Raw genomic sequence first — 13268 nt, forward strand, 5'->3', positions numbered from 1 at the left:
TGCTGTAGACAACTACCTGAGACTGGGTAATGAATAAAGAGGTTTAATTGACTCACAGTCCCGCAGGCTATACAGGAAGCATGGCTGGGAGGCCTCAGGAAACTGACAATCATGGTGGAAGGTGAAGGAGAAGGAGGCATATCTTACATGGCCGGAGAAAGAGGAAGAGAGCAAAAGGAGAGGGGGAGGGGCCACACACTCAAAAAACCAGATCTCATGAGAACTCACTCACTATCATGAGAACAGTAAGGGAGAAATCCACCCCCATGATCCAATCACCTCCCACTGGGCCCCTCCTCCAACACTGGGGATTACAAGTCTACCTGAGACTTGGGTGGGGACACAGATCCAATTCTACCTGAGATTTGGGTGGGGATACAGATACAATCCATATCAGGGGCCACTTCCACGGGGACGGGAAGAAGCAGATGGGAGTAGTCCTGGGCAGGTGGGCTCATGGCTGTGTGTGCACCCTCAGTTGGCTTTAGTTTGCTCTAAGAACGAGGTAGGAGGTGGGGATGCCTGGGGAAGGGGGTCATTCACAGAGAATGGAGAAGACTCAAAATTATCCATCAGCACATGAGCCTTTTCTACTTCTAGGGGAAATATTTTCCACACTGATATACAAAAAGTGGACAGTACCCTTTCTGCTGTGTATACCCAGCACATTCATTTTTTCAAAACCAAATATACAGCATTTCGTCACCAAGGAATGGCATACAGTGCAGGCAGGGCCAAGTCCTCAGCTCCAGGTCTCCTGCCGATGCTGTTTGCTTGACAACACCACGTGGCTGGGTCAACATGCACCACATGGAGAGCTTGGCACCTGCATCCAGGCCCTGACCCAGGGAGGAGGTGCTCCAAGAGGCCTGCCCTGCCCCACCAGGCACTGAAAGACTCTCAGAGGCCACTGCTGGGGACAAAATCCCTCCACTACCCCCTCAAGGAGAAGCCCGTTTCTTCTTCCAAACATCCCAGGAGCCTCCCATGGTGCAGTGCAGAGTCTGTTGGGGAGCCAAGAACAGGTGGCTGAGACCAGGTGGCCCAGCTCAGCTCTCCTCGCCTCCCAGAGTCCTGGTCTTCTGGAAGATGCTCTGCATGGCAGAGATCCGGTCCTTATCCTGGATGTTGAAGACCTGGAACTACAGGCAGGGTTGCAGGGGAGAAGGGTTACAGGGACCCCTGGAGCCCATGATAAGCTCTCAGGGCCGAGAGCACAGCGTGGAACAACTGGCCCTCCCTGGGCCATGCCGGGCCTTCCTGCCCCGGGTATCTGCCTGGACAGGCATCCTAGAGGCGGAGCGGCCCCAGCCTCTGCTGCTCCCTGAGCCCCTCCTCACACACGGCGTCCCTGGCATGGGCCTACACTGAGGAGGAGGCCCCACACGGTGCTGCTTGAAGGCTGCCTCCGGTGACCACCCCACCCTCACCGCACCCTGCCCACACAGGTCTGCTGAGAGCACAGAGCATGGCCTTTGCCCCCTAATCTGCAGGCTCTGGGGTAAAAATTCTTAAGTGTTGGGCATGAGGGGAGGCCCCAGGAGGCCATCAGCATCTCAACAGGCGGAAGTTTGCTAAATTAGGATAGGAGATGCCCAGCAGAGGGTGGCTACCCTGGGGCCTCACTGCCACTAGGACACAGGAGAGGGTGGCTGAGAAACCCCTGTTTGTGCCCTGGAAGGAGATTGTGTTTGCTCCTGGGATGAGGGTGAGGGCCGGGCCCTGGGCGAGGAGCAGGGTGGACTCCAGGCAGGCTCAGCAGAGGTGGCAGAGCCTGGGCCACAGGGAGGGGCAGTTGGTGGAGCCTCCAGGCACCCACGAGAAGTGGCCCAGGGGACACAGGGTCCCAAGGAGCACGGCTGTGGATTCTTGAGTCCAGGGAGAAAAAAATGGTCCCTCTGGGGCCCAGGTAAGGCCATATCCCTTCATGAGGAATGGAACTCCAGGGTGGGCAGCTGGGGCTCTGAGCATTTACCAAGTGTGAGCTGGGGGGCAATTCTGGTGGGAAACAGAAGCAGGGTCAGACCCACTGCCCTGGTTCCAGGGAGAAGCCCCAGGCCCTGTGAGGCCACCAGTGAGGGGACCCCCACGGCCCGTGTGACCCCCAGACATCACATGTCCCCGCAGACGCTCTCCATCCGAGCCCTGACCTGGCCTCAGCATTCCTGGGGCTGCTGACCTGGGAGAGAATGGGCAGGGAGCCAGGCCAGGGCTCCATTCCACCCTCCCATGCCCCCGGGCCTGCCCAAGGCCCCCGCAGCCAGCACCCACCTTGTCCAGCAGGACGTCGAAGTAGGCAGTGGCCCAGTAAGTGGGGTCACTGGCTGGCAGCTGCAGGAGCGCCTTGAGCCCGGAGCCGATGCGCGGCGGGGGGCTGCGGCCCAGGTGGGTGGCGTGGATGCGCAGGGCCGCCTCGGGCTGGCTGGCGAAGCCCTCCACGCGCTGGTAGATGGCACCAAGGTCCAGGCCGCTGCCCTGCAGCAGGTTGCGCTGCGGGTGGAGGAAGTGGGGCAGCTTCCGCGTGGCCAGGCAACAGAGCAGCACCACCAGCAGGCGGTACACGGCGCCCTGCAGTTCTGCCCAGTCCTCGGGCGCCAGGAAGAGCACAGAGGCCCACAGCAGCACCATCTGCAGGACAGCAGGGTCAGCCCTGGCCTCCTGGCCCACCCGGCCCACCCTGTGCTCCCACCCTGCGCTCCCACCCTCACCCTGGCTGCCCCTCCCTGCTCCTACCCACACCTCTTCCTACCCTGTGCCCTCCCCTCCACGTCCCAGTCGGAGTCCCAGGCCCCTCCCACCCGCTGCCCCCAGCCTGCTGGCTCCCGAAGGCATGAACCCCTCTCTCTCCTCCCCTGCCTGGCTCTGGCCCTCGCACCCCACCCCAGCTCCTCCTTTCACCCCCCAGGACCTCCCTTGGGGGCCTCTGCAGCTCCCAGCATCCTCTGGGCCTTTCTCTCCTTCCCTCCGCCCCTTTGAGCTCCTACTCACCCCCTGCAGCCCAACCCAACGGGCCCATGGCATTGTCACAGTCCTAGCCTGTGTGCTCATGACCCCTGGCCTGAACCACAAGACCTGAGCTGCCTGCGGCCGTTCCAGACACCCTTACCCTCCATCCTGCCCCAGGCCCTGTCTCACAGGCCCTGTCTCACAGCGGCTTTTCAAACCCTCTTCTCCCATGGCCTCTCACCCTGCAGTTGAGTTTGGGGCTTGGGAACCACCATGCATCCAACCTCAAGGGGGGCTGGAAGCTCCAGGTCAGGTGGGGGCCTGAGAGGGCATGGCCAGAGGTCACCTAGGGACTCCGGACACCAGGAGGGGCACCTCTCCCTCAACACTGAGCCAGGTGGAGGGGCCAGCCCCATCTGTGGAGCAGCGCCCGGCTGGCCACACACTCCAGGAAGGGGCCAGCCGAGCAGACCCCAAGACAGCACAGCCCCCACCTGCTTCCTCGGGGTTGGGGTGGGTTGGAATCCCTGGCCCCTGCCTGTTCCTTGTTCTTCTCAGCATCTGATGTTACAAAGCCCCAGAAGGACAGGGTTCTGCAGAATGTCACTGTGGCCCAGGAAGCAGAGAGAAGGGTGTGCCTGGACTCTCCTGGGAACCCCCAGAGGGAGGTGTCCCAGCCAGGTGACATTCCCAGACACTGGGAGGAGGCTGGCTGGGCGGGAACACTGGGCTCTGTGAGGCCCCACCCTGAGATTCTACCCAACAGTGTCCCAGGGCCAGGAGGGCCTCCGAGGTCACGGCCTAGGGATGGCGAAGGCCAGCCTGCGGCACCACGGCACCCGCGGCCACATTCCCTTGACCCTCAGGAGCCACGGCCTCACCTCCTCAGAACCTGGGCAGGCCCTCAGAATCCCCCCAACTCCGACTTGGGACTCATAGCAGCTGCCTGCCAGTCAGGGCTGGCAGGAGGGACACGCCTGGGTGCACCTACCCCTGGGCCCTGGTGACAGACAACCCGCCGAGTCCCGCCCTGGGTACCTTCAGGTGGCCAAAGGTCAGGCCGTCAGTCTGGCCACTGTCACGCCAGCTCTCGTGGTTGACCCGGTCGAGGATGGAGAGGCTGTCCAGGCGATGACCCTGCAGGGAGCCCAGCTCCCCCAGCAGCCTCGTGAGCAGGTAGTCAGTGGAGGTCCTGGGGCCCAGACAGACGCACTGGGTCAGCCCCCGCCGCTGTTGGCCCCCAGCATGGGGAGCTTCTGAGCCCCGGAGGTTCGGGCCCTGGCCAGGGTCGTGCTGTGCTGCGTCTGCTGGTGGGACCCAGCCGGAACCCAGGCTTCTCGGGAGCTGCTGTCATCGGCTGTGCAGTGTGCACGCCTGCTTTTCGTGGAGACTCCCTGGCCCTGAATACGGAGGGATGTAGGAGCCTCCAGGCCAGTCCGGCCCTTTGTGTAGACAGGAAGGTGCCTCTCAGACCTGCCCAGGTTGGAACCACTCAGCCCGGGGGTGTGACAGCTCCACTCATGGCCCCTTCAGGAAGCCCAGGGCGGCAGCCTCCAGGGGTGGCCGCATGATGGGCTCAGAATCTCTGCTCCACACCCCAGCCCCGCCTATGCCCACAGCTCAGAGCAGCTCACACCAGATGACTTGCTGCGTGCATGCTGGATGGGCTGAGGTGGTGGAGCCTTGGCAATGCACCCTCATGGGCCCACCCTTCAAGGAGCCACAACAGGGGCCAGTAACGCGCCCAGTGTCCCCCGCAAGCCTACAGGATGTGGGGCACCAAAAATGTCATTTTCCCATTTACTTGCAAAAATGATTCTGCCCAGCCCAGCCCTTCCCCTTCCTTGGCAGGCGGGCAGGTAGTTTATTCCACAAGCTTGGACGCCGCCCCTGCCTCGCGTGAAGGGGTCAGAGGCAATGCAGGGCAGGTGACTGGCGCTCCGCTGAGCCTTTCCTTGCAGGGGAAAACCACAGGAGGGACATAACCAGCTTTGCAAAGCCCTCCACTGACGAGCGTGGATTCAACCATCCTTCCAGCAAGTGAGGCGGGGTGAGCCACCCTGAGGGGCTGTTGCAGTGGTGTCAGATCTGGATGGGGTGCGGTCCCTGGCCATTGGCTAGGGGTCTCCAGGGGAGCTCAGCCTGTGCCCAGTGCCCCTCTCCTTCCTCTCACAGACATCAATGTGGACGCACCCCCACTGTGTGGGAACCCTCTCAGCTTCTCTGGGAACCCACCTGCCTGGACAGGTTGCCTGACCTCTCAGCTATTTTCCTGCCCCAAGCAAAAGCTGGGTAGTGAAAGGTCTGGTCTAGGGCAGCCATCCACAATTCCAGGTCTCTCATCACCCAGTGTCAGATGCCACCAGGCCCCTTTCCACTAGGGAGAGGACACATTTCCACCCTCCCTACAGCCAGAGACCCCAGTAATCTCAGTGGAACACACATGCCCATGGGGGCAGAGGCAGACGGAGGACCCTGCAGATCCTCCTGGCTGGGGCCAGGGGAGCATGGGGGCAGTGGCCCCTTCCTGCCCCCTCCCCAAGAACCTTGTGACCAGGAGGGTGCGCCTACCTCCAGAGCTGGGCGCTGGCCGGCACCAGGTCCACCCCTTGGCTGAGGATCCTTCTCAAGCTGCCCTCAGGGAATCCGGGCATCTGCTGCACCCCCTCCAGGGCAGGCGCCCCAAGCTTCCTTCTCACCACGGGCACCACGTGGAAGCTGATTGTTCTCCAGCCGCTGGACACCAGCAAGGACAGGTGGAGCTGCTCCTCCCTCAGGCTGGCCGCGTTCAGCGAACCTGCAAAGACCCAAGTCACGCCGGCCCCTCGACTTGCCTCACCTGCCCAGGACACTCCACAGCCCTCCTCCTGCTGCCAACTTGGCCCCTGCCCCTCATCACCTCTCACCTGCAGCCCTCTCTGCTGGCCCCCACCTGCAGGCTGCAGCTCCCCAACCCCAGACACCTGTGTCCATCCCTGGACCTCAGCCAAGTGAGGAGCTGGCCACCATGCCTGCCCAATGGTGACAGTCCTCGGCACAACTGTCAGCTCAGCGACTTGCAGCACCAGTGATGACAGCAGCGTCCTACATGAGGTTTTCCTTTGCCAGGCACCACCCTCACCCCACACCCCAGGACCACGCCTGCTGTGCCTTCCCAGGCCTTCCTGAGCCTGCTCACTCTGCCCCAGCCCTGGGGCCAAAGTCCCAGCCCTCAGCTAGCCCCCTACCTCCTGACGATGGCCCTGGCATCTCTGCTGCCTTCTCTGCAGGGGAGGAGGCAGCAGCAGTCCAGGCTGGGGCCACAGGGCTCCCACTCCAGAGCTGGAGAGGGTGGAGCGAAGCTAGGCCTTTCCTCCCCAGAACTCACCTCCTCCTCCCCCCTGCCCCCTGCCCCCTGCCCCTGCCCCTGGAAGCTTCCCTGAGAGCCCCCTGCCACTCAAATCAACTGCATGCATGGGAAGCCCATGTTGGATCCAGCTAGGGGACCAGTCTACATGATGGGGGCAGCTGGGGAGAGAGGGACAGGCCCAGGCTGAGGCTCAGTTCCCATGGAGAGAAGAGGCGGCGGCAGCTGCCAGTAGTGGAGAGCCAGCTCGGCCACCGCCGTTTCTGGGCTGCCCAGGCCAGCAGGCTCACAGTGACGGAGCTCAGCCACCCCCGTTTCTGGGCTGCCCAGGCCAGCAGGCTCACAGTGACGGAGCTCAGCCACTATTCCTGACCAGGTCTGGATCCTACACTTCCCAGAGAGCCCTTGCCCGAGAGCCCCATGGCCCCTGTCCCCCACAGGAGGCACATTCTGACCAAGAGGTTTCCCACTCCCTCCCCTCCTCGGACCCCACCCGGGACCCAGCCCAGTGCCCACTTCACTAACACAGAGCCCAGAGTCCCTGGAGGGCCTGTTCCAGGGTGTAATGGGGCTGGAGCTGGGGCTGGGGGCATTCTGGTGAGTCCAGGGGCCCTCTGGCCTCTGCCTCAGTTGCCCTACCCCCCCAAAAACAAATTAATATCCGAGAATGAAGAGGTGAGGTGTCACTCAGGGTGACTGCAGACACCCACACGGCCCCCGCCTGACACTGGCCCAGGGACCGGAGGAGAGGCCGCCCCTCCCCTCCCCAGTACTGTCCAGCCAGGGTGCCCAGGTCACAGGGAGCTGGGCCCAGGCAGCATGCTGGCGTTTCCCCGAGGGAATCCTGGCATGTGCCTTGGGAAAGGTCCCCATCATGAGCGAGCATGGGGCCTGCCTTCCCACCATCCCACCGCCCCAGGGTCCTTCCGGAGGGAGCCTGGTCCTGGCTGTGTGGACCCCTCAGCCCCCACAATCTCCCGTGGGGCAGTTCTGGGGACGCCTCTGGGGCCCACCTCAGGGCAACCCTGGCCCTGCTGCCTGGGCGGCCCATCCCACAGGGGCCTCAGTTCCCATCAATGAAAGAGAAGGAGGGCCCCCCCATGCAGCACTTGAGGTGCCTGCCATTCAGAGCCGCCTCTAGTGGCCACACACCTCATCTGCCGTGGGCCACGCACGCTCACTGCCCGTGACCTGGCAGCTTGGAAGGCAGCTGCAACTGCACCAGCCCGGCCACAGGCCACAGCCCCGGGCTGGTCTCACCGGTTCCCAGGGTGGGGGCAGCCTGACCCCTGTCACCTAGGCTGCCACTTCCCCTTTAAGGTGAGTGTCAGGAAACGATGCCTGGAATCTCCCTGCATGCCCAGCCCAGCGCAGCTTCAGGGGCTGTGGGCGCGGCCTGCAGTATCGAGTCTGCTTTCTCAGGAGGCACTCTGGGGGCGTGAGGAGCCTGGCGGCTTAGAGCAAATCCGAATGACTCAGGGCCTGGCACGGCCTCCTGCTCACCCCAATGGGTGGGCCTGTCTCACAGGTGGGGACAGGGCCAAGTGAGGTCGGGAAGAAGATAGAAATACCCACCCCATGGCCTGCATGATTAGAGGTTCAGAAGATGCTGGAGCAGGAAGCCCGAGGGGCTGGGGGCAGGGTGAGGGCTGGCTGGGAGCACCAGAAGCTGACACCCCAGAGGTCAGGTCAGTCACTTACCCCAGGGCACTAGACAGGTCTGGGGAGGGCTTCTGTTAGAATCCACCCTCCTGGCCTCCCAGCATGCAGACTGGAGGCCTGGCTATGTGCGGCGGTGGCAGCACACCCTTCCCCAGAACCCACAGGAGGTGCCCCTGCCTCCAGGCAGGCCCCAGCGCCGGGCATCCCCAAGCAGATCATGGCCTCTCGCGAAGGTGAGCTGACCCCACCCGCTGACCTCACGGAGGACATGAGGGTCAGATGAATACTAGGGAGGTGACTCGAGGCAACAAAGCCCTGTGAGGACTGTGGTGACTCACATGTGACAAATTCTGTTCCAGTCCCCAGTTCCCTTCCAGGACAACCTGACCCCCTGGAGGATGGCTGTACCACTCAGGGTCCCCATCATCCTGGCCCCTGCACAGGCTGAGCCCTGTCCTCCCAGCGACCGTCGCCGTCCAGGCAGCCCCTGCTGAAGGAGCCCTGGGCTCAGACTCACCCTGGACCATATCAACAAGGCCCCAAAGGTGGGCCTGGTGCTGTGGCTCACACCTGTAATCCCAGCACTTTGAGAGGCCCAGGTGGGCGGATCATCTGAAGTCAGAAGTTCGAGACCAGCCTGGCCAACATGGTGAAACCCTGTCTCTACTAAAAATACAAAAATTAGCTAGGCGTGGTAGCCCATGCCTGTAATCCCAGCTACTCAGGATTCTGAGGCAGGAGAATCGCTTGAACCCAGGAGGCGGAGTGAGCCAAGATCGTGCCATTGCACTCCAGCCTGGGTGACAGAGTGAGACTCAGTCTCACAAACAAACAAACAAAAGGCCCCAGAGGAGAGACTGAGGCCAGCCCCTGGTCCACGCAGAAGCCCAGCCTCAGAGCCCACTTGGGGCTCAAGACACCAATAGACAACTCAGCCATAAGCTGATAAGACACGGGCACACACCTGCACACGCATTCACACCCCTGCACTCACGCGCACGCAGGCAGGCACACACACACCCCTCCCACCTGGTGCAACATCATCAGACACTGGAAGTGGGCACGGGATGGCCTCGGGGAGCCTCGAGGTCACAGGCTGTGACTGGCAAGAGAGCCGCCTGCCCAGAGCCGTGTGAGGGACCCTCCTGCAAGGCCACCAGTGAAGCAGCTGCCCCAGACTCCAGCCACTGGACGACTGGCAGCCGTGGAACCCCCGTGCAAACACACACGACACGGAACACGTCATCTGTCTTGTTACAGGCATTTGGAGCTGGAAGACCTAAGTGAGGTCTCCCGACTTCTGTGCCCCAACACACTGTTCACACTTGCACAGTGTCACACACGTGCACACATGCCTGTGCGTGCAGTCACACACAGAAGACAGTCGCCACCCTGTGTGCACGTACATGGCAATCACACACATGTGCACTCACACACTTGCACACAGACACCCACACAGCAGCCCCTCGGTACACGCAGATACGCGTGCAGAGTGGGCTGTGCCTGTACCTGGTGCGATGAGACTGTGGTGCTTGCAGTGTACGATGGCTGCTACCAGCAGGTCCTTGAGGACACACAGGACCTTGCTGGGCACAATGTGTCCACGGCACTTGGCGTCACCCTCCGAGGAGGCAGTGAAGGTATCCTCGGTGGTCCACCGCTCCAGGCCAGCCCCTTCCCTGGGCACACCCAGGTGGCATAATTCAAGGCCATCCTCCGGCTGGGTGGCCTCTGGTTCCTCAATCAGTAGAGCCTCGGCATCCACCCACAGGGGCACCTCCATGTCCATTGGGTCCTCAGAGGAGCGCAGGGCGAACTGGAAGGCCTCCAGGCCACGGGAGTAGTCCACGATGAAGCGGGGGTCCAGGGCATGCACGCGCTCCAGCACCGTGAGCAGCACGTTCTCTGCGCGCTGGAAGTCCTGGGCACGCGGCGCCTCCCGGGACCGGATGGCCTGCAGGTAGTGGTGCCACAGGGGCACCTGCACGGCCATGGCTGAGGTGGGGAGAGCAGGGGCAGGCATCCCTTCAACAGTGGCAGGTGAGGGCCAGTGGCCCCTGAGGAGGACTCCGCAGGCCAGCTGTGCAGATGGGCTGTGAGGAGGCACCTGCCCAGGTGAGCAGCAGGTCTGCAGGTGGGGCCTCAGCTCCCACACAGCAGAATTCCAGAGTGACAGCACAGTGTGGCAGGTGAAATAGCTGAACTATTTAAGGCCTTTGAAGTGGGGGTGAGTCAGTCCCCAGCAATTGGGAATGTCACAGGGGCCATGCAGGGCAGGCGGGGGCTGGGTTTGGTTACCACCCTCCTCCCTCCCTTCAGAAGAGCTCTCTCATCTTAGGCCCAAGGCACGGCCCCTGTCCCAGCCAGGCTTGGGGTCCCTGGAGAAATATTGCCGCTGGACTGTGCCGTCCCTGGGATGGGAGCCTCTGTGTGTTGCTGATGGGCCTCCTTCCACCCTCCTCCCCACAGCCCAGGGGCCGGGTATCTGGATCAGGCCCCCCTGCCCCAGCCTCCCTGCCAGGTTGGAGGGAACACAAGGCACCCCGTGGCTCAGTGAGGAAGGGGAGGCAGGGCGGTGGCTGCCCAGACCCCGCTGTGGGGGAGCCCCCGACTCTCTAAGGCTGCCTGGAAGGCTGGGAACCTGGAGGCTGCGTCTCTGCAATGTTCCCCTCAGACACCTGTGCCCGGCTTACAGGCTGCAGTCCTGGCATGGCTCCTGCCTCTGCCCCAGCTGTGCATCCAGCCATCTGGGCCCTGGACCCCTGGGCTACCAGTCCCCACCCCACCCCACCCCACCCTGCCCAGCCTCCAACCTGAGAGGAGCTGGCACCCACCTAGCCTGGGAGCTGGAGCTCGTCTGGTTCTGGAGAAAAGCAGTCTCCGTGGCTCCACCTCACCCAGGTGGAGAAACTCGCCCCACCATCCCCCTCCAGCACCTGCACCAGGTACCCTGCCAGCCCCGCCCCCCTCCCCTGCTCAGGGCCGTGCAAGTCCCAACCAGCAGGGAGCCGCCCCATCGACCCTTGGCCCTGCCAGCTGGCCGAGTGCATCGGGTGCTCAGCCACAGGGGTGTCTGCAAACAGTGAACATGGAGATGGCCCCACAGGGGCGTCGTGGAGATGCTGCCCCTGTAGCCACCGCACGTGGGCCTCTCACCCCCCGGGGAGCTGCATCTGAGTCAGAGCTGTGGGCAGAACCAGGATCCCAGGAGGGGTGGGGCAGGGGGCAACAGCCACTCACTTCCTGGTGCTTGGAAGCCCCTATGAGGGGCTGCAGCCCAGTGAGCGGGTCTCTGCTTCCATGCCTCCCAGGACAGGGAGCTCACCACCTCACAGGGTAGCCCACGGTCAAGCGAGAGACAGATATCCCTCCTCCAAGCTGGCCCACTCCTGTTCCCTGGAGTTGCTTAGAGCACGTGTCCCCCTCCCCGAGGGCAGCCATTCAGGTTCAAGGCCCCATTTGTCCTGGGCCCTCACCCACGGCCTGCCTAGGTCCCCACACACAGCCGTGTGCCACACTCCTCCATCTCCACAGGACTCTGGCCTGGGGGAGGTGGACGCTGCTGCAGGGCAGCTGGGGTCCTACCCCTCACCCTCGGCCGCAGTGGCCCAGGGAGCTCATCTGCCTGTTCTGGGCCTTGGCTTCAACATCTGTGATTTGATGACACCTTCAGTGTCCCAGCTCCTCCTTCCCAGGAACCTCCCGGTGTTCTGAATTCGCCCAGGAGACCCCCAACCACACCCCAATCTACCCAAAGTGCCCAGGGGCTCTGAGCCATGGGAGGGGCTCGGCTTCTCAGCCCCCAAGCTGCTCCCTCCAGTGGCCACAGAGCAGGGCCCTTCTCCCTCGGGAGCGGCCCCCAGGCTTTGCATCCTCCTTTGCCCCTAAAGCCCCCTCTCCACTGCTGTCAACACCAAGAGCACAAGACCATGTCCCCCCTTTCCTCTCTTCAGCAGGGGATTCCACCTGGCTGACACCCTGTCCTGTCCTTCGCTGGCTCTGGCCTCCTGGCTCCCACCAGTTCCTGAGCTGAATCCAGCTGGTTGCCCCAAGGGACCCCACTCTCTCCACCTGTGCCCCAGCTGAGGTCAGAGCCTCTGATGGGCCAGGCCCCATCCTTGCCCCTTGGCCCTTCTGGCAGGTGGTGAATGACATGGTGAGCTCCCTATGGCTGGAACGGTGTCACACTCCTCAGTGTACCCTAGAGCCAGGCACGATGCCAGGCACACAGGAGCATGTGGAGTACACCAGGGAACTGTGGACAAGCAAAGGTCCCCGGGAAGCTGGACCTGTGGGAGAGAGAGGAGAGCCGCTGCTGACGGAGGGGATGCGGGCACCCGCCCTGGACGGCTGGGCAGCTTTGACCACAAAGGGGCCAAGTGCTCCAGAGGCCTTCAGGCAGCCACTAGCCACAGTGCACCCAGGACTCCAACTCTGACCCCAGGAGGGTAGCGTGGTGAGGGTGGGGAGGGTCAGAGAAACCAGACGTGTCCTGGGGCCTTGGCAACTCAAGAAGGGGTTCCTTGGCACCTGTGGCAACCGCAAATGCTCAGATGGGTGTTGATTCAGTCTCTCAGTAGAGCTCAGGGCCAGAGCACGGATCCTGTATTTCAGGAAGTCCCGGATGTGCTGGGAAAGGCGGGGTGGGAAGCAGACATTCCGGCCTGAACAGAGTCCCAGGGCTGAACCTAGGGAAGCAACAGGGGCACACCCTGAGCCGTGGGGGCTCCACGCAGCTGCAGCCCACAGCAGGGGCATGTTTCCAGGGGTGCGACAGACCACGGCGGAGGTAAAATGACAGAAGTGAATTCTCACAGCTCTGGAGGCAGACGTCCAAGAGCATGGTGTTGTGTGGCTGGGCTCCCTCCGGAGGCTCCAGGGAAGCGCAGCTCCCACCTCTCCCAGCTCCAGTGCAGCCGCGTTCCTTGGCCACGTCTCTCCATCTCCGTCCTCACGTGGCCCTCTCCTGTGGGCAGCTGTGCTATCTCTTTCTGCTTCTCTTACAAGGACACTGGGGAGACCATTTAGGGCCACCAGGCCGTCCCAGATGATCTCATCCCATAGGCCTCCCACAGTTCAGTCTGTTACCACGTAAGATCTCAATTCACCCACGGTTCAGTCTGTTACCGTGTAAGGCCACACTCTCTCCTGTGCTTTATAAGGTCCTGTTCACAGGTTCTGGGGACTAGGAGGTGGCTGTTCCTCAGCCAGCTACGGTCAGCAGCCCCCATACCACCGCGTGCCAGGAGCCCTGCCAGGGCGCTGCCTGCAGGGACCCTGTGCTTGCTGCCCCTCCCCTAGCCCAGCCACCTGT

General features: G+C 62.7%; 1 protein-coding gene across 4 annotated transcripts, besides 2 other annotated features; it reads right to left on the bottom strand.

Moving 5' to 3' along the window:
* Positions 1-27: 27 nt before the first annotated feature.
* Positions 28-10819, bottom strand: MAB21L4 (mab-21 like 4). Of its 4 annotated transcripts, XM_011511877.2 has the most exons (6): positions 10789-10819; positions 9464-10047; positions 5518-5743; positions 3985-4138; positions 2272-2628; positions 28-1142 (listed from the first exon to the last, which is right to left on the bottom strand). In XM_011511877.2, exons 2-6 carry the CDS (start codon positions 9975-9977, stop codon positions 1050-1052), a joined length of 1344 nt encoding a protein of 447 aa, XP_011510179.1. In that variant the 5' UTR covers positions 9978-10047; positions 10789-10819; the 3' UTR covers positions 28-1049. The 4 variants fall into 4 exon arrangements, with proteins under 4 accessions (XP_011510179.1, NP_001078906.3, NP_079137.4 ...); NM_001085437.3 differs by lacking the exon at positions 10789-10819 and having other exon boundaries at positions 9464-10136; NM_024861.4 differs by lacking the exons at positions 9464-10047; positions 10789-10819 and adding an exon at positions 5910-6015.
* Positions 8764-9399: an enhancer, noted in NCBI's record as "H3K4me1 hESC enhancer chr2:241834201-241834836 (GRCh37/hg19 assembly coordinates)". NCBI's record gives its function as "activates a minimal SCP1, AML or CMV promoter by ChIP-STARR-seq in primed H9 embryonic stem cells {active_cell/tissue: H9 hESC(primed)}" and the evidence as "EXISTENCE:reporter gene assay evidence [ECO:0000049][PMID:30033119]".
* Positions 10672-11307: an enhancer, noted in NCBI's record as "H3K27ac-H3K4me1 hESC enhancer chr2:241836109-241836744 (GRCh37/hg19 assembly coordinates)". NCBI's record gives its function as "activates a minimal SCP1, AML or CMV promoter by ChIP-STARR-seq in naive H9 embryonic stem cells {active_cell/tissue: H9 hESC(naive)}" and the evidence as "EXISTENCE:reporter gene assay evidence [ECO:0000049][PMID:30033119]".

The sequence above is a fragment of the Homo sapiens genome, chromosome 2 (genome assembly GCF_000001405.40).
Source record: "Homo sapiens chromosome 2, GRCh38.p14 Primary Assembly".
NCBI lineage: Eukaryota > Metazoa > Chordata > Mammalia > Primates > Hominidae > Homo > Homo sapiens.